This window comes from Homo sapiens, chromosome 8 (assembly GCF_000001405.40).
Source record: "Homo sapiens chromosome 8, GRCh38.p14 Primary Assembly".
NCBI lineage: Eukaryota > Metazoa > Chordata > Mammalia > Primates > Hominidae > Homo > Homo sapiens.
The window spans coordinates 98942848-98969747 of NC_000008.11; the positions used below are offsets into that span (position 1 = coordinate 98942848).

General features: G+C 41.1%; 1 protein-coding gene and 1 long non-coding RNA gene across 11 annotated transcripts, besides 6 other annotated features; both read left to right on the top strand.

The window, feature by feature from the left end:
- Window positions 1354-1713: a silencer, noted in NCBI's record as "silent region_19404". NCBI's record gives its function as "represses an Ori minimal core promoter by ATAC-STARR-seq in GM12878 lymphoblastoid cells {active_cell/tissue: GM12878}" and the evidence as "EXISTENCE:reporter gene assay evidence [ECO:0000049][PMID:35858748]".
- Window positions 1595-9253, top strand: OSR2 (odd-skipped related transciption factor 2). 10 transcript variants are annotated; one of them, NM_001286841.2, is made up of 5 exons: window positions 1595-1976; window positions 5326-5574; window positions 5992-6761; window positions 7809-7908; window positions 8672-9253. In NM_001286841.2, exons 2-5 carry the CDS (start codon window positions 5326-5328, stop codon window positions 8852-8854), a joined length of 1302 nt encoding a protein of 433 aa, NP_001273770.1. In that variant the 5' UTR covers window positions 1595-1976; the 3' UTR covers window positions 8855-9253. The 10 variants fall into 10 exon arrangements, with proteins under 10 accessions (NP_001273770.1, XP_005250835.1, XP_011515127.1 ...); XM_005250778.5 differs by having other exon boundaries at window positions 8754-9253; XM_011516825.3 differs by having other exon boundaries at window positions 5326-5382.
- Window positions 1859-2359: an enhancer, noted in NCBI's record as "H3K4me1 hESC enhancer chr8:99956934-99957434 (GRCh37/hg19 assembly coordinates)". NCBI's record gives its function as "activates a minimal SCP1, AML or CMV promoter by ChIP-STARR-seq in naive H9 embryonic stem cells {active_cell/tissue: H9 hESC(naive)}" and the evidence as "EXISTENCE:reporter gene assay evidence [ECO:0000049][PMID:30033119]".
- Window positions 2360-2860: an enhancer, noted in NCBI's record as "H3K4me1 hESC enhancer chr8:99957435-99957935 (GRCh37/hg19 assembly coordinates)". NCBI's record gives its function as "activates a minimal SCP1, AML or CMV promoter by ChIP-STARR-seq in primed H9 embryonic stem cells {active_cell/tissue: H9 hESC(primed)}" and the evidence as "EXISTENCE:reporter gene assay evidence [ECO:0000049][PMID:30033119]".
- Window positions 4443-5048: an enhancer, noted in NCBI's record as "H3K4me1 hESC enhancer chr8:99959518-99960123 (GRCh37/hg19 assembly coordinates)". NCBI's record gives its function as "activates a minimal SCP1, AML or CMV promoter by ChIP-STARR-seq in naive H9 embryonic stem cells {active_cell/tissue: H9 hESC(naive)}" and the evidence as "EXISTENCE:reporter gene assay evidence [ECO:0000049][PMID:30033119]".
- Window positions 5541-5690: an enhancer, noted in NCBI's record as "active region_27681". NCBI's record gives its function as "activates an Ori minimal core promoter by ATAC-STARR-seq in GM12878 lymphoblastoid cells {active_cell/tissue: GM12878}" and the evidence as "EXISTENCE:reporter gene assay evidence [ECO:0000049][PMID:35858748]".
- A 3709-nt stretch (window positions 9254-12962) lies between the features above and the next one.
- On the top strand, window positions 12963-25029 carry LOC107986872 (uncharacterized). Its single transcript, XR_001745657.2, has 3 exons — window positions 12963-18637; window positions 22617-22660; window positions 24624-25029. It is a non-coding gene; the product is annotated as an uncharacterized LOC107986872 (long non-coding RNA).
- Window positions 13140-13340: a silencer, noted in NCBI's record as "peak7120 fragment used in MPRA reporter construct". NCBI's record gives its function as "represses an SCP1 promoter by STARR-seq MPRAs in K562 erythroleukemia cells {active_cell/tissue: K562}" and the evidence as "EXISTENCE:reporter gene assay evidence [ECO:0000049][PMID:32103011]".
- Window positions 25030-26900: the final 1871 nt, after the last annotated feature.

Consider the following 26900-nt stretch of genomic DNA (forward strand, 5'->3'; position numbering starts at 1 on the left):
GGACCCACCAGGCAAAACGTTAAAAAAAAAAAAAATCTGAATGCTTAGGCATTCTGCTGCTTCCATTCTGTGTGTCAAATCTACTTTGAAGCAGTTAAGTACTGCAGGATATTAAACACTCGAATCTCCGTTTCAAGCTCACTTTTTAATCTTTGCGAACTTAAAATTGGAAAGACAGAAAAAAAATCTGCGACCCCTGTTATGTTTTACCAAAGGAACGAAAAATTCTCTCCACCTCGGCATAAATAAAATAGAAAGAATTTTATCTTAATAAAATAATATCTGGGAGCTTCTGCTTGACTCCCCAATTACTGCTTAACCTTTTGACAGTTTTTAGCCTCTGCTTGTATTTATCTACTTCCCCGCACGATTGAGATTTTTTGAATTGTCCTTTGGGGCGTCTCATTCAAAACCATCTTTCGACGGAACACTTTTGAATTGTACAGCCTCTTGGTTGAAGATCTACGTCCTCAAAGTGCGGGCTTGCCGTGGAGTAACACAGATCCCCTCTGGCAACTCGTCTGGGACGAAGGGCGTTTTTGCTTAGTGTTGATCACGCAAATCACATCTGAAAAGAAGCTGCTTAAAATGGGTGTGTATCATTCCCTTCCTGTCACTCGGTCACCCCTATTCCAGAGAGGTTGAAGTGCTTTTTGCAGTTACACTCACACAAGACCAAACCTTTAGAAGGACCTGAAAAATGTATCACTGCACTTTGAATTCTATTAACTTTCCTGGAGACTGAACATTGAACTCAATTTTTGCTGGGAATGAAGATGTAAATGTTTTGAAAAACTAGAATCGCATTTTCCTAAATTTTAAAAATGATTGTTCTTCACCAATTCCAGATGGATTCTTTATTCTTTGCCAATGGGTTGCAGATGCCCACTGTTTTAACCAAGTTGGTTTACTGCGTATGAAATGAACATTTGCCGATTAAAGCTTAAATATTGGAAGAAATTTCTCCTGGGGCATTCCACGCGTCTTTGCAATAATTACTAAATTAGTCAATTGCCACCTCTGTAAACAAACTTCGTTTAGAAAACAGCAGGCGAAAGCAGACTACACATGTAGTCATAATTGACCAAAAGTATGTACAAAACTGTTTAAAATTGGGGAAAGAGTGATTTATGCTGGAGAATGCAGTCTAGACCTGAATTATTTTACTTTACGGTGAAGGTAGTTGTATTGAATGTGTTAAGATGTGCAAATTAAGCCGGCGAGCGAACCAAATAAAAATACTAAATGCCCTTTGGGATTCTCTGTGGAGTCTTTGAGAGGCAGAGAAGCAGTTGTTGAGTTTCTAATGGTATAAGGAAAAGTGGCAACGAGAAGAAAGGGGGTGGGTATTGTGTTTGTGTGTGAGTTTTGAACTGAGTCACCTACGGCTGCGTCTCTATAACAGGGAAACCTCGAGCAAACCTGTGCCTTTAAGACTCAGTTGCTATCCAAACAGAAGTAAACAGAGTGGACCATTAGCAGACGCCGGGCGCGGAGGCGGAGCCAGGGCGCTGAGGGCCCCGCGCGGCGGCGGGACGCCCGCCCGAAGGGGAGGCGGGGCCGCTACTAAAGCCCAAGACTCCCGGCCTGGGGCAGCCTGGGGAGGGACGCGGGCGGGGACGGAGCTCGGCGTGCTTGCTGCTGGAGGGTGATGGCCCTGCAAGGCTGTGGGCTCCGACCTCACCGGGAGTCGACAGCGAGAGGTTCGCCGAAGAGCGAGGTTCTGGGCGAGCGCTGAACGCCGGCCCCAAGCACCCCGGGTCTTTACACAGTCCGCGTCCACAGACTCTGACGAAGACGTGGATCTGCTCTCGCTTTAGCTGCTCGCGGTCCTCCAGATCATGTCCGCGACTCCTGCGACTCCGCGCGGAAAAAAAAGTTTGCCAGGCGTGGACTCAATGACCTTTCCAAGCTGTGCGCCTCGCTGCCTGGACCGGGTCTGAGCGCGGCTGCCCAGGTTGACCTTTCTGCGGGAGGTGAGTGTTCGCTCTGGGAAGGGGCTGTAGCTGCCCTTTGGAAGGAAGGGTTTGGGGGTGTAAGAGGCGTTCAGATTCTCGGTCTGGTGTGCCCCAAATTCAGATGTGAAAATAGATCATGGGGATGCAATCCCAGGGCACTGTATTTCTCACTTCCTTGGGTCCCTGGCACGCGACTCCCAGCTAACACCCAACCACACACATTTCTACATACTGTTTCTTAATTTTGTTTTGGGATATTTAATCTAAGCGGTCAGCAAGACTTCTTATAAAAGCTGGTCTACGTACACTGAGATCAAACCCCACAATCCCATGGTGTTTCTGCTCCTGCCCTAGCAAGCCTGGGTCGACTTGTCCCGGGGCAGCCGCGGCAGCGCAGCGTGGACGGGCCCGGACACCCGGTGCCTGCCCAGCCAGCGACGCTGAAGGCACATTTCAAGAGGGAAATAGTTCAGTCCTCGGTAATTTGTCAACCTCGTGCTGGCTTTAAAATTCTCCTCCCACCTTCTAGTCCTGACTGAGGGGGCCCAAAAGCAAACTCCCCGGGGGCTTAAACGCTCGGATTCCTGAGAAACGGCAAGTGAGAAAGGAGTTGCAGTTGTACGAAGAAGGAGCGAGGAAAAGGTGTTTGTGGAGGGAGCCCCGGATCTGTCTTCCTACCTGTTAGCCGAGAACAAAAGGGGGCTGGCGTTTCCCGAAGCGAAAGGGCGCAGACAGCCACTTTCTCTGCTAAACAAACTGCAGTCCTGGGCAGAACAAGAAAATTACTCACGCAGGGGGAGCAAGGGGAGCACAGAGAAACAGAACCTAGATTATGCGGAAGGCATCTTAATTTAATTAACTCCTTGGGAAGGCAGAGGCGCTCTGAAGGGGCAGGAACTTCGCAGCCGTTTCTCTATTCACCTGATACAGTCTGGCCCTAACAATCTGTCCTTTAACAATTTTTTTTCTTTTTAATGATCTTCTTTGATCTACTTAGTCTATAGCTCTCTAATTTATATAAAATTCTGCTGTGGTTTGGGCTGAAATTCAGTGAGCCTACCTATCCGACCATCAGTCATTTATCTCATATACCAGTGCACAGGTTTTAGCAGATGAACCCTGACTGTATATTATTTTTAGATAATTCAGTGTAATATTACCATTACCAAAGAGCGAAACTCCTTATCAAGTTACTTCTTAATTTTTTTCTCCAATGTTTTGAAAGCTTCACTGAACTGAAATAAGTGTGTACACATCTTCCTTGGTGACAGCCAGTCAAGTAAATTTTACAAAATTTCTCCACATGCCTGGAAATTCCTGTGAAGAAGACTGATGAAAGAAAAGTAGCCTCAGCTCCACCAACATATTTATGACTTTTCATTGGTTTAAGTTTCTTTCCTTGCAAGATTAAAAGTAACCAGTGGTCTGAAACGGGACGGTGGAGAAATGACAGCAGATGATGATCGCTGTTATTTCCTGAAAGGGAGTGTGGGAACTACAAGGCTCAGCTCTAGACAAAACGAAAGTACTTTAGGATCTCTGCATTCACTTAAAATACTTCTTTTGACATACATTTCCAGCAACTCAATGGGAGTGTGGAAATTTAACCTTCCTAATTATTTGTGGCAAGAGCCATTGGTGGATATTTAAGGTTGTTCTGTTTGTAAAAGGGTTTCAAAAGGACCAATGGTTTGCTCTTCCTCTATGAAGAAACTATCTGCCCTACAAATTAAAACAAACAGGTACTATGAAATAGCACTTTTTTTTTTTACTAACATGAACCTGAATTATATTAGTCGTTAATTTCTGTATTATAAACCATTCAGAGAAAAGGGAAAGAAGATGGCACTCAACTTTGTGGCAGTGTAACCTTTATGGCAGAGTTCGCTGTGCCTTTGGTATAGAAATCACAGGTCACAACAGTACTTTAGCCAACACCACTCCCCCACATGCCCGCTCCCCCCTCCCCAACGCATACACCCTGTGGTGGGAGTTGTGCTTTGCCTCCTGTATTTATTTCTAAGAAATCTAGTCTGGGAATACACCCAAATAATAATTTCGGTTTCCTCTCTATGGGAAAGAGGTTGCTTTTCAACACGAAGGGAAAAATAATATTTTGAATCTCTGGAAAATCCTCATTACGCAAAGAGAAGGAAATAAAGGTATAAATTATTATTTTTAATTGAAAGGGAAATAATCAGGTAGATTACCAGGAATGTTAGTAGAATCCTTTTCCCCTGCCTCCCTAAGAGACTTGCCACCGAGCAAAAATGAATCGTGATTTGTGGTGGGAAAGTTGATTACTAATGGGGGTTTGCAGTTGCGGTTGAATGGTCTGACTGAGACCCTCTGACTGTTACCCACCTCTCATTAACTCTTAGCCTGAACTCCCAGACCGCATACCACCAAGCAGAAGCGATTCGTTAATAAATCTCTGTCCCGAGCCCTTCCAGAGGAAGGTGTGGGCCCCGCAGAGGCAGCCAGATCCTGCCTTGCCAGAGCGCTCTGTCATTAGCGTAGCCCCCTAAGTCTGCTCACAGATGGAACCATAGGCAATACTTCATAACGCGCTGGAGAGGACAAGTCAGACGCAGGAAGGGGTTGGGTGGGAAGGGAAGGCTGGAGTCTCTCCTGCCTTCCTGCTGGGTTCAAATGCCAGGCTTGGCGGTTGGTGGCACAGACTGGGAAACGTGACTCCTACACCTGGGGGTCTGCCCTCAGAGGGAAGGCCCTGGTCCCCCGAACTGGCAGAACTCCTTTCTAAAAAGGGGCTGGTAGTGGGAGAAGGTGGGCCCGCTGTGAATGTAGGTGAGGTGATCCCGGGAACCTGGGTCTGAAATCAGACCTGTGTTGCCATTGGGAGCACGGAGAGAGGGGAAGCGCCCTGCTTAGGCCCAGGCCGGGCGTCCTGGTGGTGGGACCGCAGCCGCACTCACCTCCAGGCCAACGGACAAGGTTCCTGCAAGCCAGCAGGGCCACTCTGTGCTTGGCCTACTGCAGCTCCCCTGCAGCTCCTTTCCTCTCCCTCCCCGGAGCGCTCTCCTCTCTCCTCTCCCCTCTCTTCTCTCTCCTCTCTCGTCTCCTGGGGCATCCCGGGTGGAGGGATGTAGGGGTCGCTCCTCGGTGCCAGGCCGGGAAGCAGCTCAGGCCTCCCAAGAGCTTGGCGCTCAGTCTGGGAAAAGGGGTTCCTCTGGCCTCAGGGACGTTCTCCGCCCCCACCCCACCCCCTGGGAGCCTGAACCATCTGGAAGGGATCTTAGTCGGGGGTTGGGAGGAGAGCCCGTGGATAGGAGGAGGGGGCGATTCTAGGCCGAATCCAGCCCCTGAGGTGTCACTTTTCTTTCCTGCGGCCCGTCACCGCTGATAGATGGGGCTGAGGGCAGAGGAAGGAAAAAGAAAACCTCCGAGGTCAGTGCGGGGCGAGGTGAGCCCCTCCCAGGGCCCTCTGGCCCAGGAGGATGAAGCGCGCCGGCTTCGCTCTTGCACGCCGGCTTGCCATCCGGGTAAGCGCGGGAAAGGCGGCCACAGGGCGCGGCGGCAGCGCAGCGCGTGGGATCTCACGACCCATCCGTTAACCCACCGTTCCCAGGAGCTCCGAGGCGCAGCGGCGACAGAGGTTCGCCCCGGCCTGCTAGCATTGGCATTGCGGTTGACTGAGCTTCGCCTAACAGGCTTGGGGAGGGTGGGCTGGGCTGGGCTGGGCTGGGCTGGGTGCTGCCCGGCTGTCCGCCTTTCGTTTTCCTGGGACCGAGGAGTCTTCCGCTCCGTATCTGCCTAGAGTCTGAATCCGACTTTCTTTCCTTTGGGCACGCGCTCGCCAGTGGAGCACTTCTTGTTCTGGCCCCGGGCTGATCTGCACGCGGACTTGAGCAGGTGCCAAGGTGCCACGCAGTCCCCTCACGGCTTTCGGGGGGTCTTGGAGTCGGGTGGGGAGGGAGACTTAGGTGTGGTAACCTGCGCAGGTGCCAAAGGGCAGAAGGAGCAGCCTTGGATTATAGTCACGGTCTCTCCCTCTCTTCCCTGCCATTTTTAGGGCTTTCTCTACGTGCTGTTGTCTCACTGGGTTTTTGTCGGAGCCCCACGCCCTCCGGCCTCTGATTCCTGGAAGAAAGGGTTGGTCCCCTCAGCACCCCCAGCATCCCGGAAAATGGGGAGCAAGGCTCTGCCAGCGCCCATCCCGCTCCACCCGTCGCTGCAGCTCACCAATTACTCCTTCCTGCAGGCCGTGAACACCTTCCCGGCCACGGTGGACCACCTGCAGGGCCTGTACGGTCTCAGCGCGGTACAGACCATGCACATGAACCACTGGACGCTGGGGTATCCCAATGTGCACGAGATCACCCGCTCCACCATCACGGAGATGGCGGCGGCGCAGGGCCTCGTGGACGCGCGCTTCCCCTTCCCGGCCCTGCCTTTTACCACCCACCTATTCCACCCCAAGCAGGGGGCCATTGCCCACGTCCTCCCAGCCCTGCACAAGGACCGGCCCCGTTTTGACTTTGCCAATTTGGCGGTGGCTGCCACGCAAGAGGATCCGCCTAAGATGGGAGACCTGAGCAAGCTGAGCCCAGGACTGGGTAGCCCCATCTCGGGCCTCAGTAAATTGACTCCGGACAGAAAGCCCTCTCGAGGAAGGTTGCCCTCCAAAACGAAAAAAGAGTTTATCTGCAAGTTTTGCGGCAGACACTTTACCAAATCCTACAATTTGCTCATCCATGAGAGGACCCACACGGACGAGAGGCCGTACACGTGTGACATCTGCCACAAGGCCTTCCGGAGGCAAGATCACCTGCGGGATCACAGGTGAGGCGGGCAAGGAGGATGGCTGGGAGAGGGAAAGCGAATTTGTCCTGGACACACCGAGTCCTGATAGACATTCCCAGTGTCATTATAATCCCCTGTGATCTAAAATACACCCTCAGTCACGCTCCTCAGCCCGGTTCAGCTAATTCCCAACATCTACCCTTTCTTTCCCCCAGCGGCTCTTGCTACGTTCTTGTTTGGAATGAGGGAGGGCCTTTCCTCAGTCTTGGACAGGAACAATCTGTTGGCCTTAGTCCTGGGATGGTTATCCTGTCTCCTCCCGGTGCTGTGGGGAGTGGTGCAGGCAGAACCCAGGTACCCTGGGGTGCCGGTCCTGGCTGCAGTCGGGCTACTTCTGTTGGGTTTCGTCCCTCCCCCCACCCCCCACCCTCCACCCAGGTGCGCCCCAGAGCCTGCCGTGGGGACCTTTCTTTTAAGCTGTATTTGTGGGTTGAGAGGGGGAGGAGGTCTTGAGGTCACCGAATTTACAAACAGCTCCCACCTCCCTTCCGCGACCTTAAACTCTGCATTAATACAAGGCAATTGAAGGCATTCAATAATGTAAGTGTTATCATTGGGTAAAAACTTCTCAGGAGTTGGGGAGACCTTTTTAGCGGTATCTTTTCTGGACTCTACCTGCTGTTCCCCAGAGATGAGACTTCTGTACCCATCCTGCGAGGCTGTTAAGGGATTCACTAAAATTAGCACTTCTAAACTCAGCCTTGCCTTACATCCTGATTTGGCCAATTTAAATCCCAGAGAAAACCATGGAGGCCAAGAAAGGCCCGTTCAGCGGGGTTTCGAGCTCCAGAATACGCCAGAGAGGGCGATCAAGTGTAGATAAAGCCCGCGGGCTGGTGAATATTTTGAAGAGAATTAGTTGAGATTAACCATAAAGAGAATTACACAGGAAAAAAAAAAATCTAAAAACGTAAATGGAAATCTTGTTTCTTTTGTTCTTCCACGACTTCCTTTTAAGTAATTGCTAAAAGTAACTCTTCACCATGGGGCAAAGTTATTTCAATGAAACCTTATATTGATTTTCAGATACATCCATTCCAAAGAAAAACCCTTCAAATGTCAGGAGTGTGGGAAAGGATTTTGTCAGTCTAGAACTCTAGCAGTTCACAAAACTTTACACATGCAGGTAAGTTTGTTTTCTTGTTTAAAAACAGTGGCTGGTTCGTGTTATCATTACTGCTTTGCAAAAGGTGTTCAATGGCAGACTCTTTCTCTTAAAAGGCTCTATTTAGATTAGTTCTCTAGGTGGGGAAAAGCAACACTTGATTTCTTTAATACATAAAATTAATCTTGTTTAACATAAAGCATTTTTATATTTTTCTCAAAAAACGGCCACTTTGATTATCATAAATCCTAATTTTAGAATTTTTTTCATCCAATCTGTCCTGCATTTAAAGCTTTCGTGTTTAGGAGGAAATAAAGGTAATTTTGATAATGGAGGCATAGTGAAATCCCATACGTTCTCTTTCCCAAGGGCCTCATAATTTGTAGCTTTCAGGACATTGAGGAATAGTTTAGTTTTCCAGCAAAGAGGAGCCTTATTACCCAGGAGAATGTTGTTCCTTAAGAGAGGATTAGAGTTTTTCCTTCCCCCTTTTCCTGCCTATGACATGGTGATGAAATGTGAAGAGCTGGAAATCACAAAGCCCACCGAGGTGGCTGCGGGTCTGCCTCCGAAGTTATCAGTGTAATCGGGCCTCTGTGTATGCCTGCACGTGTATTTTCATGATTGGAAGATTAGGAGCACGGATTTGTTCCTGCAAGTCTCCTCTTTTGTTGTCATGAGAGTGTTATGTTAACGCTTGTGATAACGATAAGACAGAAACTATTGAAAAGGGTGCAGTGGTGGTGTGAAGGATTAATCCTTTGCTTGCTTCACATCTGAACAGGAATCTCCACACAAATGTCCCACATGTGGAAGAACCTTTAATCAGAGAAGTAATCTGAAAACTCACCTTCTCACCCATACAGACATCAAGCCCTACAGCTGCGAGCAGTGCGGCAAAGTGTTCAGGCGAAACTGTGATCTGCGGCGGCACAGCCTGACTCACACCCCGCGGCAGGACTTCTAGAGAAGCCCAGGATCTGTCCCGTGCCGCCGCTGCTCCCCTCCCCAGACACCTCTCCACGTCTCCTACCCAGGGGGTCGCATCCCTAGCCCTTCACTGACCCCAGCTCTTCCCTTGCTGCAGCCGCACCTGCAGCTCCAGGGAGTTAACTCTTCTTCTGGGGGACTGAGAACTGTAGAAAGCCACACACTACTACATCCCTTCACAAAGAGTATATGCTAGTTTCTTGTAGATATTCACAGCTCATTTTAGAGCTCTGTACATAATGTTGTGGGTCTTTGTTTTGTTGTTTTGTTTGCTTTGGGATCTTGTTGGATGCACTTAGATATGGAAAATGGAAGCCAAATTTTATCTTTAAAGACTGTATTTTCAAAATAAAACTTTTTCTTGTTTGTTTCAAAACTCCTGCAAAGGTGTCTTGCTATTTAAATACTGTTTTTCCTCTAGATTCTGGAAGAGTGGGCTGCCTCTATAAAATTCAATACTGAAGGACATTCTTTATCCCTAGGTTTAAAAAATAGGATTTCTCAGAATTCTCATTCTGCAACTTCAGCCCTTCCCTTTTTATATGGTGGCATTTTGGAATTAGACAATTGGGCTGCTTGTTTTTCAAAGATATTAAAAACATTGATGCCCCTAAGGTTTTATCCCCTTTTGTTTATTTCAATGACTTGCGTATTATTCCTTCAGATAAATGCAATATCTTAATATAACATGCAACTTCCATGGCTGTCCTACTTGAAAGCACAGGATGGGAAGAAGCAGGAAGCATAGAAGAGGTGGGAGCTTCTTGCCACTTCATTTTTGAAAAGTCCTTGGCCTATTGTCACAATTTATGATGGGCAACTTCTCTTACCATTAGACTTTGAACACTATGATTTATCACTGTAGACAGAGACTTTATCCTGCCTTCAGGACAGAAGTCTAAAATCCGACAGAAGAGTACAGGAAGATACAACCTTCAAGAAGACGGGAGAGAAGAGGAGAAAGGAGAAACCACTAAGCTATGTTCACAAAATATTTTTTTCCAAGGGTGGGGATCCTTTCTTCTAGAAGGTTAGGATTTCTCTGCAAAGCAAACTGAGTTGGGTTACCAGTGAGGTTTCCACCACTGGTTGGTCTTTGTCCCTGGGAAAATGCCAGAAGTGCAGGTTACTCCATGTATAGAGCTCATGGCAAACATGTAATCACCTTCTGAGACATTTCAACCTTTCCTAAATGGTTCCCGGGGAACATGACTCTAGTATAGTGACAACCCTGAAGTATAGTGTAGGATTTGAGTGGAGGGCTTTGGAAGGAGATAAAGAGTAGTACTATTCAGAGACTGGAAGGAAAGTGATTTAACTTAAAGGGGGAATGACAGAGAAACCTGTGGCACAGTAGGCTCTCACAAACTGTTTAATATGGAATAACAGGTTAAACAAGGCATTATCAGATTTATGTAAAATTTGTATATTTGTGTGGGGATGGCATGTTTCACTTTCAGGGTGATTCCAAGCAACATGTCCTATGTTTGTACCTTAGAATCTTCCAGAAAAGTAGATAGAGACTTGAGGACTAGGTTCAAAATTTCTCAACAGTACCTTGTTCAATTCAACTTACTAAGAGGTTTCAAAAAGTGTTCCTGACTAATTGCTTCCTCTGTTTTCAGGGGAGCTGGCTAGAAGTCATGTTTATCTCTCACCAGAGATTAATTCTCTCCAACAAAGTGTCCACTCACCAGCCTGTGTGCCTAATGCTCACACAAATGCATTCCCCAGCGTGGGATGAGCCCAAAGTCTTCCTGAGGAGTAGGGGTAGGGATGGAGTATGGAGTGCATGTGCTTGTGTTATTTAGAGGAATGAAACAGCTGTTTGCTTTCTTTTGTTTGTACAGAATTAACTCAGTGACCTCCCTGCCCCTCCTCTCTCAAGATCCTGCCCACGTTGGTACAGAAGATTTGAATACTTTAGGGCAGAGTTAACATTGACTGTCCCTAGAGCCCCACTAATCCTGCAGGCTTTTTCTACATAGTCAATCTCACAGCCCCACCCACCCCTACTGACTACAAGTGTTACAGTTCCATCTCACAGGGTTCAGTCCAATTATCAAAGAATGACCCTTGTTCACTATCAAGCTACAGGCATATCCTTGAAGTCCCTATTACAGGAATACATAGATAGGTATAACCACAGAACTGTTCCTCCCCATTTATTTTAGTGGAAGAAATGGGAATCAGAAGGGAAAGAGAAAGAAGAGAGGAGAAAGTGGAGAAAGCAGTTCCCCATCTGATACACATACTATTTTAAAAGTTAAGGTTACTTATAATTAATTTATTTACTCATTAATTTAATAAATGCTTATTTTATGCTTCTCATATGCCAAACCATGTGCTAAGCTCCACTGATTTTCATGATCAGTTTCTGCCTTTCTATATCTAGTGACACATTTTTGGAATCTTGGCTACTTAGATAATTAAAAACCTATGATAGGGCTAATTTAACAACTCCCCTCAATCTAGACACTTAAATCCAGCATTCATCTAGGCTCAGAAAGGTTCTAGCTTCTGTCAGGGTAGACTTTTTCTACATACTCTTCATGATCTTAGGTGAACTTTTATTTTTATTTTTAAGATAAAGTCTCACTCGTTGCCCAGGCTGGAGTGCAGTGGCACAATCTTGGCTCACTGCAACCTCCACCCCCAGGTTCTAAATGATTCTCTTGCCTCAGCCTCCCAAGTAGCTGGGATTACAGGCACCTGCCACCATGCCTGGCTAATTTTTGTATTTTTCGTAGAGATGTGGTTTCACCATGCTGGCCAGGCTGGTCTTGAATGCCTGACCTCAAGTGACCTGCCTGCTTTGGCCTCCCAAAGTGCTGAGATTACAGGGGTGAGCCACCATGCCCAGCCAGGTGAACTTTTAAACAGTGAGTTCCTCTCCAAATTCTGGGTTTTGTTTTCTTCTTCTTTAGACTGTCCAAGTGTACAGGAAATGAACAAATTTATGAGACATCATAGGGAAAATATCTTGTATTTTAGGAAATTGATCTGCTGGGTTTTTTTGGTTCAGAGAAGAGTCATTATTTGAGTTTTAGATTAGCCTGTGTTTTCCTTACACCCTCTACCACAGTCAACTCATGAATCAATGCTCCTGGCAAGAGACCGGCCAGGAGTTGGAAATATCGCAAGTCATAACCACAGTGCTGAAGAACTTCATGCACAAGTTAGGTATTTACTCTCGAGCTGTGACTGTAATCTCATTTTGTAGTCTATGCAGTAAGGTTTTAAAAATAATTTCTAGAAACGAATTACATTGTAATCAACTGTTAATATAAAATTATGAATGTGTGTTAGGTGCTCTTACTGATGCTAACCTTGAAATGTAGGTCATTGTGGTACTAGTGCTTTATAATTGTAGCAATTACAATTGCTATTTTGCACAGGCACACCCTTTTTTACATGAGGAAGCATTTTTAAAATCTGTCTGTAGAACAACAAAATATTTAAAAAGTCAACAAATCTAAAATCTCAAATTATAAATAGGCCCAACTACCACTAGTGATAAAACCAGAGGTGGTTACTGGGAATTTCATCTGTTCATCTGCTGATGTTAGCCCAGGCATTTGGTCCTCTTCACTTAAATAATGTTCAGTCAGATACTTTTACCCAAACTTTGATTCTGGAGGGGCAGCCTACCCTTGGAAGGCACTTGGGAAACATTAGTTCTTGAGGATCGTCAACATGACAAAATAGATGCATTTGCACTAAACACTGTGTAGAATCAACAGCAAATTTTAATACAAGAAAAGTATTGGCGGCCGGGCGCGGTGGCTCACGCCTGTAATCCCAGCACTTTGGGAGGCCGAGACGGGCGGATCACGAGGTCAGGAGATCGAGACCATCCTGGCTAACACGGTGAAACCCCGTCTCTACTAAAAATACAAAAATTAGCCGGGCATGGTGGCGTGTGCCTGTAGTCCCAGCTACACGGGAGGCTGAGGCAGGAGAATGGCGTGCACCCGGGAGGCGGAGCTTGCAGTGAGTCGAGATCGCGCCACTGCACTCCAGCCTGGGCGACAGAGCGAAACTCCGTCTCAAAAAAAAAAAAAAAAAAAAAAAAAAAAGAAAAGTATTGGCATAATGGGTTGTCTTTCTTATTACCAAAGTGATTTTAATATTATTATAATAAGGAAAGATTTAAACAATTGATGAAACCATATAACACATTGCAAACAGGAATGACTTTTGTATTTTAGGGGTTTATTTGTGTTTGCCTTTATTAGTGTGTTATATGGATACTATATTTCTCAATTTTTTCTTCTATAATGTAACTTGTCACTGATAACCACCTCTGCTGACAGCAATGAGCAATAAAGGGTGTGGAGATTCAGAATGATTCAGCTTTGATGACCTGAGATATTTCAAGTTCATTCCTGTTTCTTTTTTTTTTTTTATTGCTTGTTGGTTTTTTTCACCCAACACAAGCTACCTTATTATCTATGCTATGTAACTTTTTTTTCTTGAAACTATCCCAGGCAAAAACTGATAGTGAAAAATTGTAAGTAACCTTATATTATAGCCCACAAGAGGAAAATTGGTAAGTAAATTATCATGCTATATCCGTTAGGATGTTTTCTACTGCACAGAACAGAAAACCCACCTCAAAGGGGCTTAAATAATAGGAGATATTTTCTCACATAACAAGAAGTCTCCAAGTAGGGTTCAGGGATGTGTAATTAATTGGAGTGTCACAATCAACTAGGATCAATTCTTCCTACTTTTCTGTTCTTCCATCTTTAGTGTGTATACTGGACTTCCTTTATGGCCACAAAATGGCTGCAACAGCACCAAGCACTAGCTCCACTGCTCCCTCCTTACACACATTCCATAGGCAGAAAAAGGGATTATCTCTTCCTTGTATCACTTTTAAGGAACTAAGAATCTGTTTCACAAATCTAACCTGTAGATTTGCCCTTATATCTTATTGGTCAGAAGTATGTCACTTGTCCCTTCCTTGGCCAATCACTGATAAGGGGAATAGAATTGTACCATGATTGGCTTAAACTAAATTAAAAAATCACCTTTTATGAGTGGAAATGGAGTTAGCCTTTAAGCCTGAAGCCCTTGACCACCTGAAGAAACCTGAGTTCTGTTAGCAGGAAAGAAAGGAGAACTGGCTATTGTTAATACTAGGCAGATGTTTAAAATGAAGTTTCCATTAAATACCTTGTGTTAGGAGATGTTGGTATTAGACAGTATTATCTCAACTATATAAAAAGACAGAGACACTATTATCTCAAATATATAAAACAAACAAAACCTTTAAAAAACTAAGCAGAAACAAAGACTAGCAGAAAATATACCAAAATGTTAACAGCAGCTTCATGAGTGACAAACTAAGGGTACACTTTTCTTCTCCTTTTTAAATTTTTAAACTCTTCCACAATGAGCACATGTTACTTTTATGAGCATTCAGAGCTCCTTTTCCTATCTTTTCTCTTCTCTAGGTTTCTTTATCCTGGTTCCATATTTTCACTCTTTTTAGAGCTTCGACAATTCTAACCCAGGGTTCCTCATGTGTGAACATTACAATTACCCAAGGTACTTATTTCTGTGTCTTCCCTAATCCAGTGGGTGAATTGGAATTTCTGGTGATAAAGAATAAGTACTCTATTTTAAACAAACACTTCAGGTAGTTCTTATGTGTATTAGAGATAGAACTTCTGCGTTAGCCTTTGATACCATCATTCCCTTTATCTTATCCATCAGCCATTTACTATGTGCCTACCATAATAAACATAAAACAAATCTCAACCCCCTTTTCTTTACTTATTTACTCACTGTCCTTGAAGTTGTCAAATTTTCCTCTGCTTTGACGCTTACTGCCCTTCCGTGGTCTTTCCCATGTACTTTTATTTTCTATTGTTGCTGTCCCAAATTTCAATTTTTTCATTAATAGACATGTTTGGCTTTGATATTTTATTCATTCATTCTTCTTTGTTCTCTTGATCTGCTCCCTAATTTAAAGAAGCAGCAGATGAAAGAGACTATAATAATTGGCTGAAATGGGAAAATCACAGAGTAAAAATAATTTTCTTTCAATTTACTAATGAAAATATTGTCACCAAATGACTTCTTACTTCAGCTTTTGTACAAACAGCATTCATTTGCTGCAGTAATGCTTTACGTATTGAGGTGTGGATGTGTGCTGGTTTTAGGATCAGAGCTAAACTACATTGCTTTTAGATTATTTATGTTATCATCACACTAAAATTAGAGCTGGAGGAGGCCATTTTTTGACAGAAAGAGTCATAAACGTGAAGGTCAGAGATGGATTTATTTTTTTTAAGCTCTGAAACTGTTTATGGACAAGACAGTTAACTTCTCTGAGACCCAGTTTCTCATCTGTACAATGAGAATTTGCACTACACAATTTATAAGGTCCTCTCTAGCTCGTAAGATATAAGGTTTTGAGAAAAGAGCATTTCTAGAAAAGTATTGATGATTTCACAAAAGTTAGAAAATATCAAGAAATCAGATCACTTTTGTCCCATAAAAATTTTTATTAACTCAATAAAAATCAATGTGATTTCTACTTGAAACACATATCATTTATTTTCTTAAAACTTCTCAAAATTTTAAAGACCCTACAGAAGACTGTTAATTTAATTTCTTAAAACTTTCTTAAAATTTTAAAGACCACACAGAAGACTGTAAATTGAAAGTAATATTTTTACATTGAAAAGTAAATTTACTTATTTTTTAGATGATAAAAACAATCATACTTATTTTAAAATATTCAAACAGTATATAAGTGTATAAGGTAAATTTCTTATTATCTGCTCCCACCCCAACTAATCTGGACAATCACACACAAATAGGATCTACTGTAATACTATTTTTCAACTTGCTTCCCTCCACCCCCACTTAACAATAAACAATGTATATATAAAATAATGTATGTATAAACCAACGCATATATTGGGTCTGTTTTACCCTATCGGTAAAAACAGATCTGCTGCTAATGTAATGGAAATAATCAAAACAAAACTAAGGACTTTTAAACCTGAGGATTAATTCTTATGCATTAGAATTTAATATGGAGAAATAGGGAAATCATTCTGTTACCGAAATTATTTACAAAATACCATCCTTAACTGACAACCTTTAGTCCCGTATCTTCATAAAAGCAGCTTAGAGTGCCTGAAGGGTTTTGAGGGTTCTGCAAGGTGTGTCATATTATAGCTCACATCAGTGCACATTGATGTATCTCTCTGGCAAGAACTGAAAGATACAGTTCTTAAATCCCCTGCTGACCCATTATCCATGGATCATTGACAAGATAGAATGTAATAGCTCCTGTCTTTTTACCAAGGTAAACCTCCCAGTGAAACTGCATTGTTCATGCCCTACATCTTTTATCTAAATAAGAAAATGAATATAGGGAAAAAAACTATGTTAAGTAGATAATATAAATACTTTCATATTCTTTATTATATTTTAATATTTGTTGAATGAGGAAACATAAACTGTTTAATTGCAGGGGCTGAGACTAAGAAAGTTTTCCCATAACCTATCTTTCCAAATAGATCATCTTAAATACAAGGCTAAAGGAATTGCATAAGATCCAGCATTTAGAACACCAAATTAAACTAATAGACATGTTGCCTATTTAAGGACAGCATTAAAACAGTAGTTCAGTTGGTGTTATGGGTCAGAATTTAACATTTCCCATTATCTTGATCTAAAAAGTCAATGTTTCTCTACTCTAAAAGTTATTTCATTTGTGAACTGGGTCATAAAGAGTCATAAGCTCTCAGAGGGATTTATTCACAGACCTCGGCAATGTTTACCATGTGGCACTGTGTTTTTGCAACATCACATATTGACAGTGCTGTGTTGTAAATTTCATAATGCGATGACAGGACATGGCCATATTTTTATGTGGTTCTGATCAAGATCCATCTGAAAGCTCCTTATTTTATGTTAGTCTTCTTGACTTCTAAAAGAATTCTGCCATATTTCTATCTGTTTAAATCTAGAAAAGGTTAGAAATAGAAAGATGATGCTCTTGTCAACTTGATTAACACTTCATTTCCTGCCCGGGGCAAAATAAAAAAAGAAAATGAAAAAATAAATACATAACTTGACCAACCATCTCAGTAAGAATATGGGCAAGTGAATCAGATATTTGGCCTAGACCAGTGAAATTAAAGATACATATCCCTTTAACTCAGTGATTCCACTAGAGAAACTCAAACACATCTGCAGAAAGATACATGGGCAGGAATATTCTCTGAAATATTGTTTGTAATAGAGAAAAACTAAAAAAAAATCAATGTCCCCTAGCATGAGAATGGGTAAATAAATAATCAATATTCACATAATAGAACACCATATAGTAGTTAAAATGACCCGTTTAGCAGTAAACGTATCAGCATGGATTAATCTCAAGCACATAATGTTGTATGGGAAAAAAATAATTTGCAGAATGATGAGTACCTATCATTCATATAAATTTTGGAGACATGTAGTTCATAAAACTGTAGTGAAAGTATAAGATGTTCTTGGAAATAATAAGCACCAGAGTCTGCATAGTGGGTACCTTTGGAGAGAAAGAGGAAAGAAATTAGAGACCAGTACATATTGAGGGGGGATTTCAGTTGTATTTATGATATTTTATTTCTTCATTATATCTGAAGCAAATATAGAAATTAAGACTTGGAAAAGCTGAGGGATAAATAGAGGGGTGTTTGTCATATTAGTCTCTCTACTGTCCTATATACTTGGAAATTTTCATAATAAACCGTTTTCAAAAAAGAATCAGATATTAGAGCTGAAAGGGACTTTAGGAAATGTCTAATAATTGGATTTTTAGTGAGTAGCTACTCTGTGATGTTAGGATTACTCTGATGATGTTAGGATTACTCTGGTGCATCAGAGACACAAGGGCTCTACACCCTTGGAGCTTACATTCTACCAGAAAGAGACCAAATTTAAAATTAAACAGAATATTAACATGGACCATACAGAGGATTTCATTTCATTTGAGGATGAAGAAATTGAGGTGCAAAAAAGTCAAGTGATTTTCCCAAGGTACAAGCCAATTCTAGAACTTTGCCTTCCTCTCTGTCTTTCTACATACTTCTATTTTCCTCTGGTCTCCCTCTAACCTAATGTTATTCTAATTATTGATGGTGTTAGGCACAAGCACATTGCCAGTGTCTCACTTGTTTGTAGCCATCTGTTTGGCATAGGTACAAATTTGTCAAATACTAAAACTTAACTAAATAGCTTTAAAATTGTTGAATATTTTGAACATGACATTAAATTACAACCTTCTCATATTAGGTAGGTCAGCATTATCTTTGTTTCATGGGTGAAGAAAGAGATGAATGGGGGAGTAGCTGTGGGGTGAAGTAAATTGCCTAAGGCTCTGTAGGAAACAAGAGTGACAGGTTCTGGATCAGAATTCAGAACTCTGACTTAATCTAATGCAAAATCTGGAGTACCTTTCTTGCTGATCTTCCCTTTTAGGTTAATGTGCCTCACTTCCACACATTCCTGTAAAGCTAACACTCTTGAAAATTGTAAGAAAAGGGCCCTTACCACTAATACCTTGTCAGATAAATTGAGTATTTTTCACCTTCAAAGTTTTGAATTCATTGGTAAACATGTTTAATGTAAACTTTTATGTCCATCTAAGTGTGCAAACTCTTCTCTCCAGATGGCCTCAAAGAACATTCAGGGAAATCATTTTCCAAACCATAACTGTTCTATTCAGAGCTTTGAAGACAGATATCAGGTGAGCTTTTATCGACTGTTGGAAAATAAAGGGAGTAGAAGAACAAAATGATTATGGTAACCTAGGCTACCTAGATGGTGTTATGACATTCATTCTACTGACAAAACTCTAGCATTCATAAAGTTTATTTTAAAGTAATTATCTTCATTTCTATTTAAATAATTATTTTAATATTATGATAGCTGAAGGTGATTGTTTCAGCTTCTTCTTCTTCCGGAGTTTATTAAAAAAGAAATGGTCGCTTGTAGGAATGAAGCTCTTATGGGGAAAAATTATTCTGAGCAGAATTTAAATATCCAACATCAGAAGGTACTATGATGTAATACTATTGCTACCCAGGAGTCCATCAGCAGACTGTACCCTGTGTGTCACATACTTCCCTACAAAGCTGATTACAGGTTTATGTTGTAAGTGCACAATATTGACTGGTACAGGATACAGATACTTATTATCCGGAATTACTTATTATCTTCATTTTCCAATGAATTCTTTCTTCCCTTGGTTGATGTGTGAAGCTAGGTTTCTAAGGACTTCTTCAGTGTTCTTATTAAGAACATCTGTAAAGAGCATCAGAATGAAGTGTTGAATTTCACCCATTTGGATTTCATTAAAGTGTCTATAGTTGTCAAGCATTTAGAAAGTCAAGACACTAAGAGTTTGGGGTTTGACCCAAAGGAAATTGGTCCTCATTTTAAGGCTAAAAAGGAGGGATAACAGAGCCAAATTTTTTTAGGGAATGGGAGATTAAAAAAGAAATTATTCCTTTCAGATACATGCCCCTAAAGAATGAAAGCTTAAACAGTCATACTTTGTAATAGTTTCGTTTTTCATCTTGCCAAAACAAAGTGTGGGTTTATTGCAGAAGTTCTTAACCTAGAGTTCATGGACCTTTAGTGGTCCATAGGCAGACTTCAGAGAGTCCATAAACTTTGTGAAATTGTAAGCAAAATTTCACTTGCGTATACAGATGTGTGTTTTTTTTTCCCCTAGGGAGAGGAAACTAGCTTTCGTCAGATTTTCAGGGACATCTGTGATTCAAAAAAGGTTAAGAAATGGTTTATTTTCTTACTTATTTAAGAATCTTAAAATTTTCAAAGTATCTGAATAAGCAGAGTTTTATATTTCTCTTTTTATTAAAAACACACTATATATAAATGTATATGACTTTTAAAATGCAAGTAAGATATACTAATTTTTAAACATTAACAAATGACCAGAATTTTTGGTAATCTGTGAAATCTCAATTATAACTAATTTACCTAAATATACAATCTGATCTAACCAGGTGTAATAAAAATAACCTGACTAGCTATTTAAAAGAAACAACATAAAAAGAGTAGTGAACAGTGAAGATACCTTGTGTTGGTGGTACAAAGCCGTAAAAAAACAAAGCAGCTTGAAAATTTTTTTATTACATGTAATAATAGAAGTTTTCTATTTGGTTAATTAATTATACTCTAATTATAGTAAAGTGGCATGAATTAATTTATATTATGACTCCAATCCACTGAGTAAAAACAGCAGTTTCATTTTATAAACAACAATAAGTGAAATAAATTCTGCCGTGAAAAAGCCACTGGATATTTTTAAGTTTTGTAACATTTTAAATGAATACCAAATAATCTGATCATCATTACACTAACTCTAGTTCCATTTAGACTTGGGACATTTGGTAAAATTTAAGATGTCATATTTTAAATTAAAATATAACGTGTTATTTCTTCTCTGCATACAATTTTTTAAAAGTGTTGTTTTAACTGGATCTTCCTATAATTACATTTGGTTTTAAAAGTAGATTATTTAGTACACATTGAACTAACATTTTTTCAATGTGGTTAACTAACATTTTTTCAATGTGGTTTTCCTTGTGAATCACACACTTAGCCTGGAATCAAAAGACAGAATGCAGAAATACAACATGAATCTTTGACTAATAGGCTATCTGCCACTTGTTTTTGTTTTGTATCACAGGAGTATATACAGGTTATTTCTTTCCCTTTAGCTAAACTTCAGGCATGTCTACTTTATCTTTGCTCCTTTTCCAGCAAACTTTCCTTAGCCACCTTCTTGAATTACCTATCCTCTCAGACAGTTCTTTAGCTTATTATATGTGAACCTGGCTTGTTTCCAAATTAACTTGGCTGGTCTCTTAATTTTTCCCATCCTCTCTCAAAAGCCCTGATGTACCCTTCTGATATTTACCAAACCAAACTCAGTATCCAGGCTCCACACTCTCCACCTTCTTCATATACATACTGCATGTCATCAACTTTTCCTATACTATTTTTCAGATGCCTTTATTTTCTCCTCAAACTTTGTCTTTCTCTTTTTGCCTCAAAGTATTTTCATCTGTTCTTAAAAACATACTTAACTGTAAATATTAGTGGAAAATGGACTGTTTGAGTTGTCAATTTTTGTTTTACAGTTAAGGCCTCTTTTTGTTCTTTAGCATCAAGTTTATCTCTTACGATTTAAATAAGGTTAGAGCCGGGTGCGGTGGCTCATGCCTGTAATCCCAACACTTTGGGAGGCCAATGCAGGCGGATCATTTGAGGTCAGGAATTTGAAACCAGCCTGGCCACCATGGTGAACCCCGTGTCTACTAAAAAAATACAAAAATTAGTCGGTGTGGTGGTGGGTGCCTGTAATCCCAGCTACTCAGGAGGCTGAGGCAGGAGAATTGCATAAACCTGGGAGATGGAGGTTGCAGTGAGCCAAAATGGCACCACTGCACTCCAGCCTTGGCACTCCATCTCAAATAAACAACAACAACAAAAAAGGTTAGAAACTAGTAAAGGTTATGGTATATGCATTATATCTTAATAAAGCTAGTAAGCTATTACAAAAGAACAGAAAGCAATGAAAGAGAAAAAGAGAATAAACTACAGGAATTTACATAAGTGTTGGACAGATAAACTGCAACATGAAATCTAGATAGTTATAATTATTATAGATACTATTACATGCACTGCTTAACTTTATAAATTCTCTGAAGTCCTCCTATAAACTAATAATTTAATCTCCTCTGCTAACTTACTGATCCAGACACAAATTATGTAAAAGCTATCTATCCAAATACAAATTATGTAAAAGCTTCTAGCACAATGGTGGCATATAATAGAATAGGTGTCAAATAAATGTTAAAAAACAAAAAAAGTTAAGGTACAATTGATAGAGTCAAGTTATATATATTAGTATAGGGTTTAAAGGCTAAAAGAATTTAGCCTATGCCTAAAATAGTCAGGAGCCAATTTAAAGTTTTTAAAAAACTCTTTTTCTTTGATATTATAAATAATATATGTTGTTACACGAGTAACACGATTGGAAAAACATCAGATTAAAAATTCATTTTTAGGCCCTTCTTAGAGTACAATTATTAAAGAACAGTTGAAAATTGGTTTTGTGGCCAGGCACGGTGGCTCACGCCTGTAATCCCATCACTTTGGGAGGCCGCGGCGGGTGGATCACGAGGTCAGGAGATTGAGACCATCCTGGCTAACACGGTGAAACGCTGTCTCTACTAAAAACACAAAAAATTAGCTGGGTGTGGTGGTGCGTGCCTGTAGTCCCAGCTACTCGGGAGGCTGAGGCAGGAGACTGTTGTGAACCCAGGAGGCGGAGCTTGCAGTGAGCCAAGATCGCGTCATTGCACTCCAGCCTGGGCAACAGAGCGAAACTCTGTCTCAAAAAAAAAAAAAAGAAAAAGAAAAAAAAAAAGAAAGAAAGAAAAAAAAAGAAAATTGGTTTTGTGGAGTAAAATGATGATTCCCGTCAGCTTTCTACTTATTATAGGACTCTCACAATTTGGGTGACCAAGGAATATTCATTCCAATATAATTCTTCCTTTTGTAAACAGAGAACAACTTTTACATTTTCTGCTAAAAATATAAAATGGTGAATATTTAGTTCAAGATGTTTACATTGCTCAAAAGGTGTTTTGTTTTGTTTTTTCTACCTTTCATCTCCTCCTTCCTCTCAGGTCTTCAGAACCAATGAAGAAGAAACCATTACTTATCAAAGAAGGTGAGGTACAAAGCTGATGGGTCACAGGATTGCTAGTCAGAACAGCTAGCACATTTTTAAATTTGTAATCTTTATTATGTTTCAAGAATAGCAATGTCTTTGAATGGAAGGAACTTCAGAAATGTCTTTGTTCGGCCGGGCGCGGTGGCTCACGCCTGTAATCCCTGCACTTTGGGAGGCAGAGGCGGGCGGATCACGAGGTCAGGAGATTGAGACCATCCTGGCTAACACAGTGAAACCCCATCTCTACTAAAAATACAAAAAATTAGCCGGGCGTGGTGGCGGACGCCTGTAGTCCCAGCTACTCGGGAGGCTGAGGCAGGAGAATGGCCTGAACCCAGGAGGCGAGCTTGCAGTGAGCCGAGATTGTGCCACTGTACTCCAGCCTGGGCGACACAGCGAGACTCCGTCTCAAAAAAAAAAAAAAAAGAGTCTTTGTTCATCCCTTATACAGTATTATTAAAGGTAGGGGCACTTACATTTTGTGAAGTCGTAGGTACCATTATTAGGTAACTCTGAACGCTGGAGAAGTCTTATGTTCAATCAAAAATCCACCTCATTGCACCTTCCAATGATTGGTCCCAGTCCTGCCCTGTACTTTCTCTAAGCTCTAAACTTGGGAGAAGGGGAGAATTCCTCTTTTATAAAGAGATGAAAAGATGTTTGAGCTGGACTTTGTAAAATGTTTAGAATTTTTAGGGAGTGGTGTCACCACACCACCAGATCCTCGGAAAAATACATTGCATATTCCTTCTTTATGCAGATTCTAGAGTAGGAAGTTTTCGTCTCTCTCATCCAAATATGCCAAGGAATTTAGCAAATTTTCAGTCTTTCAGGGACATCTGCCAACAATTACCAATAAATCAACGTTAGCATACCTTATGGGAGGAGAGAGAAGGAACTAGAAGTTTCATGGTTTTATTTCCTTCTCTGATGGTGTGGTAGGAAGGAAGATTAACTGGTTTGATCTGAAGCCTTACTGGGTATAAATCTCTTAGATACCTGGCCCAGATTAACTGAATTATCCCAGTATTGAGCATACAGGTTGTCAAGGGTACTTGTATCACATTGATTTGCCTAATAACCCTAATCTGACTGCAACCTCCTCCAACTGTAATTAGGAGGTTCCATTGTCCTTCTCTTGCAAGTTCTAACATGTTATGTTCCCATCTTCATTCGAAACGGCCTGAGTTGCATGATAATATCTCAAGCTGCCAAAGGCCACAGCTTCTTTATTAAAAAAAAAAAAAAGAATTATTACAGATCATGCCGCAGGACTCTTAGTGACTGTCTCTGGCTTGGCACATCCTCATCTATTTATTCATCCAAATAATAACTTCAAAAAAAGTTAAAAAAAAGAGTCACCCTGGTAGCAAGACTGAGATAATGTATATCAGCTTTGATCACATGCTCTGAGGTTTGGGAAAATGAATTATTATAAACTGGGTGTCATCCTCGGCTCTTCCCTGGAAACACTTTTCTTCAATGTTGCTTTTGATCATATTTTAAAGTTGTAATTAAGGATTCCTTTCCTCTAGTCATGTTTTCTCTCTTGAGTTAAAACCTTATGGAAACAATCCAGTGGAATTATATAGCTATGGTTTGACTCACAGGAGCTCTTGGTAATGATTAAGTTTGCCTGGACAGAAGGATATGGAATAGGTGTTTGCCTAGTGGGTGTGTCAACAGAGAGGGTGTCCTTTTTTTTTTTTTTTTTTTTTATCTTTCTACAACCTGGTGTCCTATGAAGAACCCTAGGACATATCTGTAACTAGGAAATTCTTTGATTAAATGTATATATATATATATATATATTTTTCCAATACTTATCATTCATTTGATAGACATTCAACAAATATTTGAGTATCTCAGTGTGTTAGGCGTTGTATTGATTTATTATAAGAGGCAAATAAAGAAAAACATCAATAAGGAAATAAATATGCTATGATCTGGGTATGTGTAGGCTTCTATGGACGTATGTAGAAGGTTCCCCTGTCAGTGAGGGTGGAAGAGAGGGGATAAGGAAGACTCACTGGAGAAGGTAAATGTGGTTTCAATGGTGAGAGAACATTCAGGTGAGTTTCTCCGAATGAAGTATGCTCTCCTGGTAATGATCATAGTAATGGCAAATAGCAGGGTTTTTTTAAAGCATAATCCATGACACAAAATTCTTTTTAGACGCTCTGAGAAAAAGGAATTTTGTAGTCAAATACATCTGAAACTTAACAATGTATGCTAACAACTAATGTCTCTGAACAGTCTGGCAGTAAAGAAACCTGATTAACACAGTATAACCCAGCATTTCCCATACTACCCTGACCATAACCATCCTTTCTTGTTGTTGGGGGGATACCTGGGGGAAGACCTATTGCCATCCTGAAGGATGTCTTAAATTTTTTTTTTTTTTTTTTGAGACGGAGTCTCGCTCTGTCACCAGGTTGGAGTGCACCGGCGCGACCTCGGCTCACTACAACCTCCGCCTCCCAGGTTCAAGCGATTCTCCTGCCTCAGCCTCCCGAGTAGCTGGGACTACAGGCGTGCACCACCACGCCCAGCTAATTTTTGTATTTTTAGTAGAGACAGGGTTTCACCATGTTGGCCAGGGTGGTCTTGATCTCTTGACCTTGTGATCCACCCGCCTCGGCCTCCCAAAGTGCTGGGATTACAGGCGTGAGCCACCGCATGTGGCCCACCATTAAAATTCTTAACCTAAAGAGGATAATTCCCATGAAAAATGGATGCTATGGGTCAATTAAATAAAATCAAACAACACATTTTATCTTGTCCATGTTTTACAGGTGACTAAAATAATGGTTAATGAGGATAGCTTTTATAATGGGCAAAATAGGCCATGACTTGGAGTCTCTAGCTTGCTGAAGCTGTGTGCCTAACTCTCAAAAAATCTGCATAGGATCCTCACCTTAGAGGTGAACAGACTAAAGCCCTAGGGCAGAATATGTCTCTACATTCCTTGAAACAAGTGTGAAGAAAAAAAATTAAAGAACTGCCATCATGAATTGTACTAAAGCCATGATCAAAAGTCTCTATACTTTGAAACACCTAATCATATTAGAGGATTAAAAACACATCAGTGAACGCTAACCAATTATTTATTCATTTCCATATCTTTTAATTTTGATAACATAAATACTGTGGTTTTTTTTCTCAATTATACCGACAAAATCTTTCTCCTACCTTCAGTCTGAGAGGTTCCTTTTGCTGTAATATCTTGTTGTTGTACTTGGCCTATAGTCTTTGCGTGCATCTTTTTCCATAAAAGAAGACCTAAGGGTCGTGAAAGATTAAGAAAAATTCAGATGAGAAGTCTTATCTTTTCTAGGAATAATGAAAAGTGTATAACCTTTATTTGAATGTTAGACTTATTTTGTGTTCTAAGGCTCTACTGTTGAGGCCATATAAAAAGGTCATACCCTTAGAGGTAGACATGACCTTTTCTGAAGAAAGTGCACATTCTCTGTATCACTTGTCTGGGAGGGGCAGGTCCTCTGACAGGTAATAGAATCTTGCAAGATGGGTTTTGGTCTTCAGCAAAAACTCCTGACTTCCTCTGGAATCATGTTCTTGCTGGACTTTCAGGTAAATGGATTATTTGAGGATGCTCTCTGGTGGTATGGAAAAGATGGCTTCTCCCAGGGGCTAGGGCTAGTTAAGAAGGCAGTACCCTTGCAGGGGATCCTAAAAATGAAGTGATAAACTTTCAGATTATCTAGCTTTATGTTTCTCTATGTTCATTCTCATCTGGCTATGCCCAAACCTTTAGTAAAGTCTGATTATTATACTTTGGTCTTGCTTAGGTCCGAGTTGTGCATTAAACACCATGAGAATTTGGAGTCCATGTTTGGGCCAAAGGGCTAAAGAATAGATGGTAGAACTCGAGTTAACATAGAGATATGTGGTTATGGCTATTACTAAGGAAAATAACCATCAGTTATGTACTCTGTGCCCAGCATTTCACTATGCTATCTCATCTAATCTTCACAAGAATTCTCAAACATAGGTTTTATTAGTCCCATTTTGCAGATGAGGAAACTGAGACTCAGAGAAATTAAGTATTTGGATATATCCTATAGCTATTGGGAGGTGGAATTTGAACCGAGGTTTCATCTGACTCCAGAGGCTGAACATACTCTAGTCAAGTTACATAACTTCTCATACCTTAAGTTTTTTATTTGAAAACATCTGCCTTCTAGGGTTGCTATAAGGATTCCATGACACAATG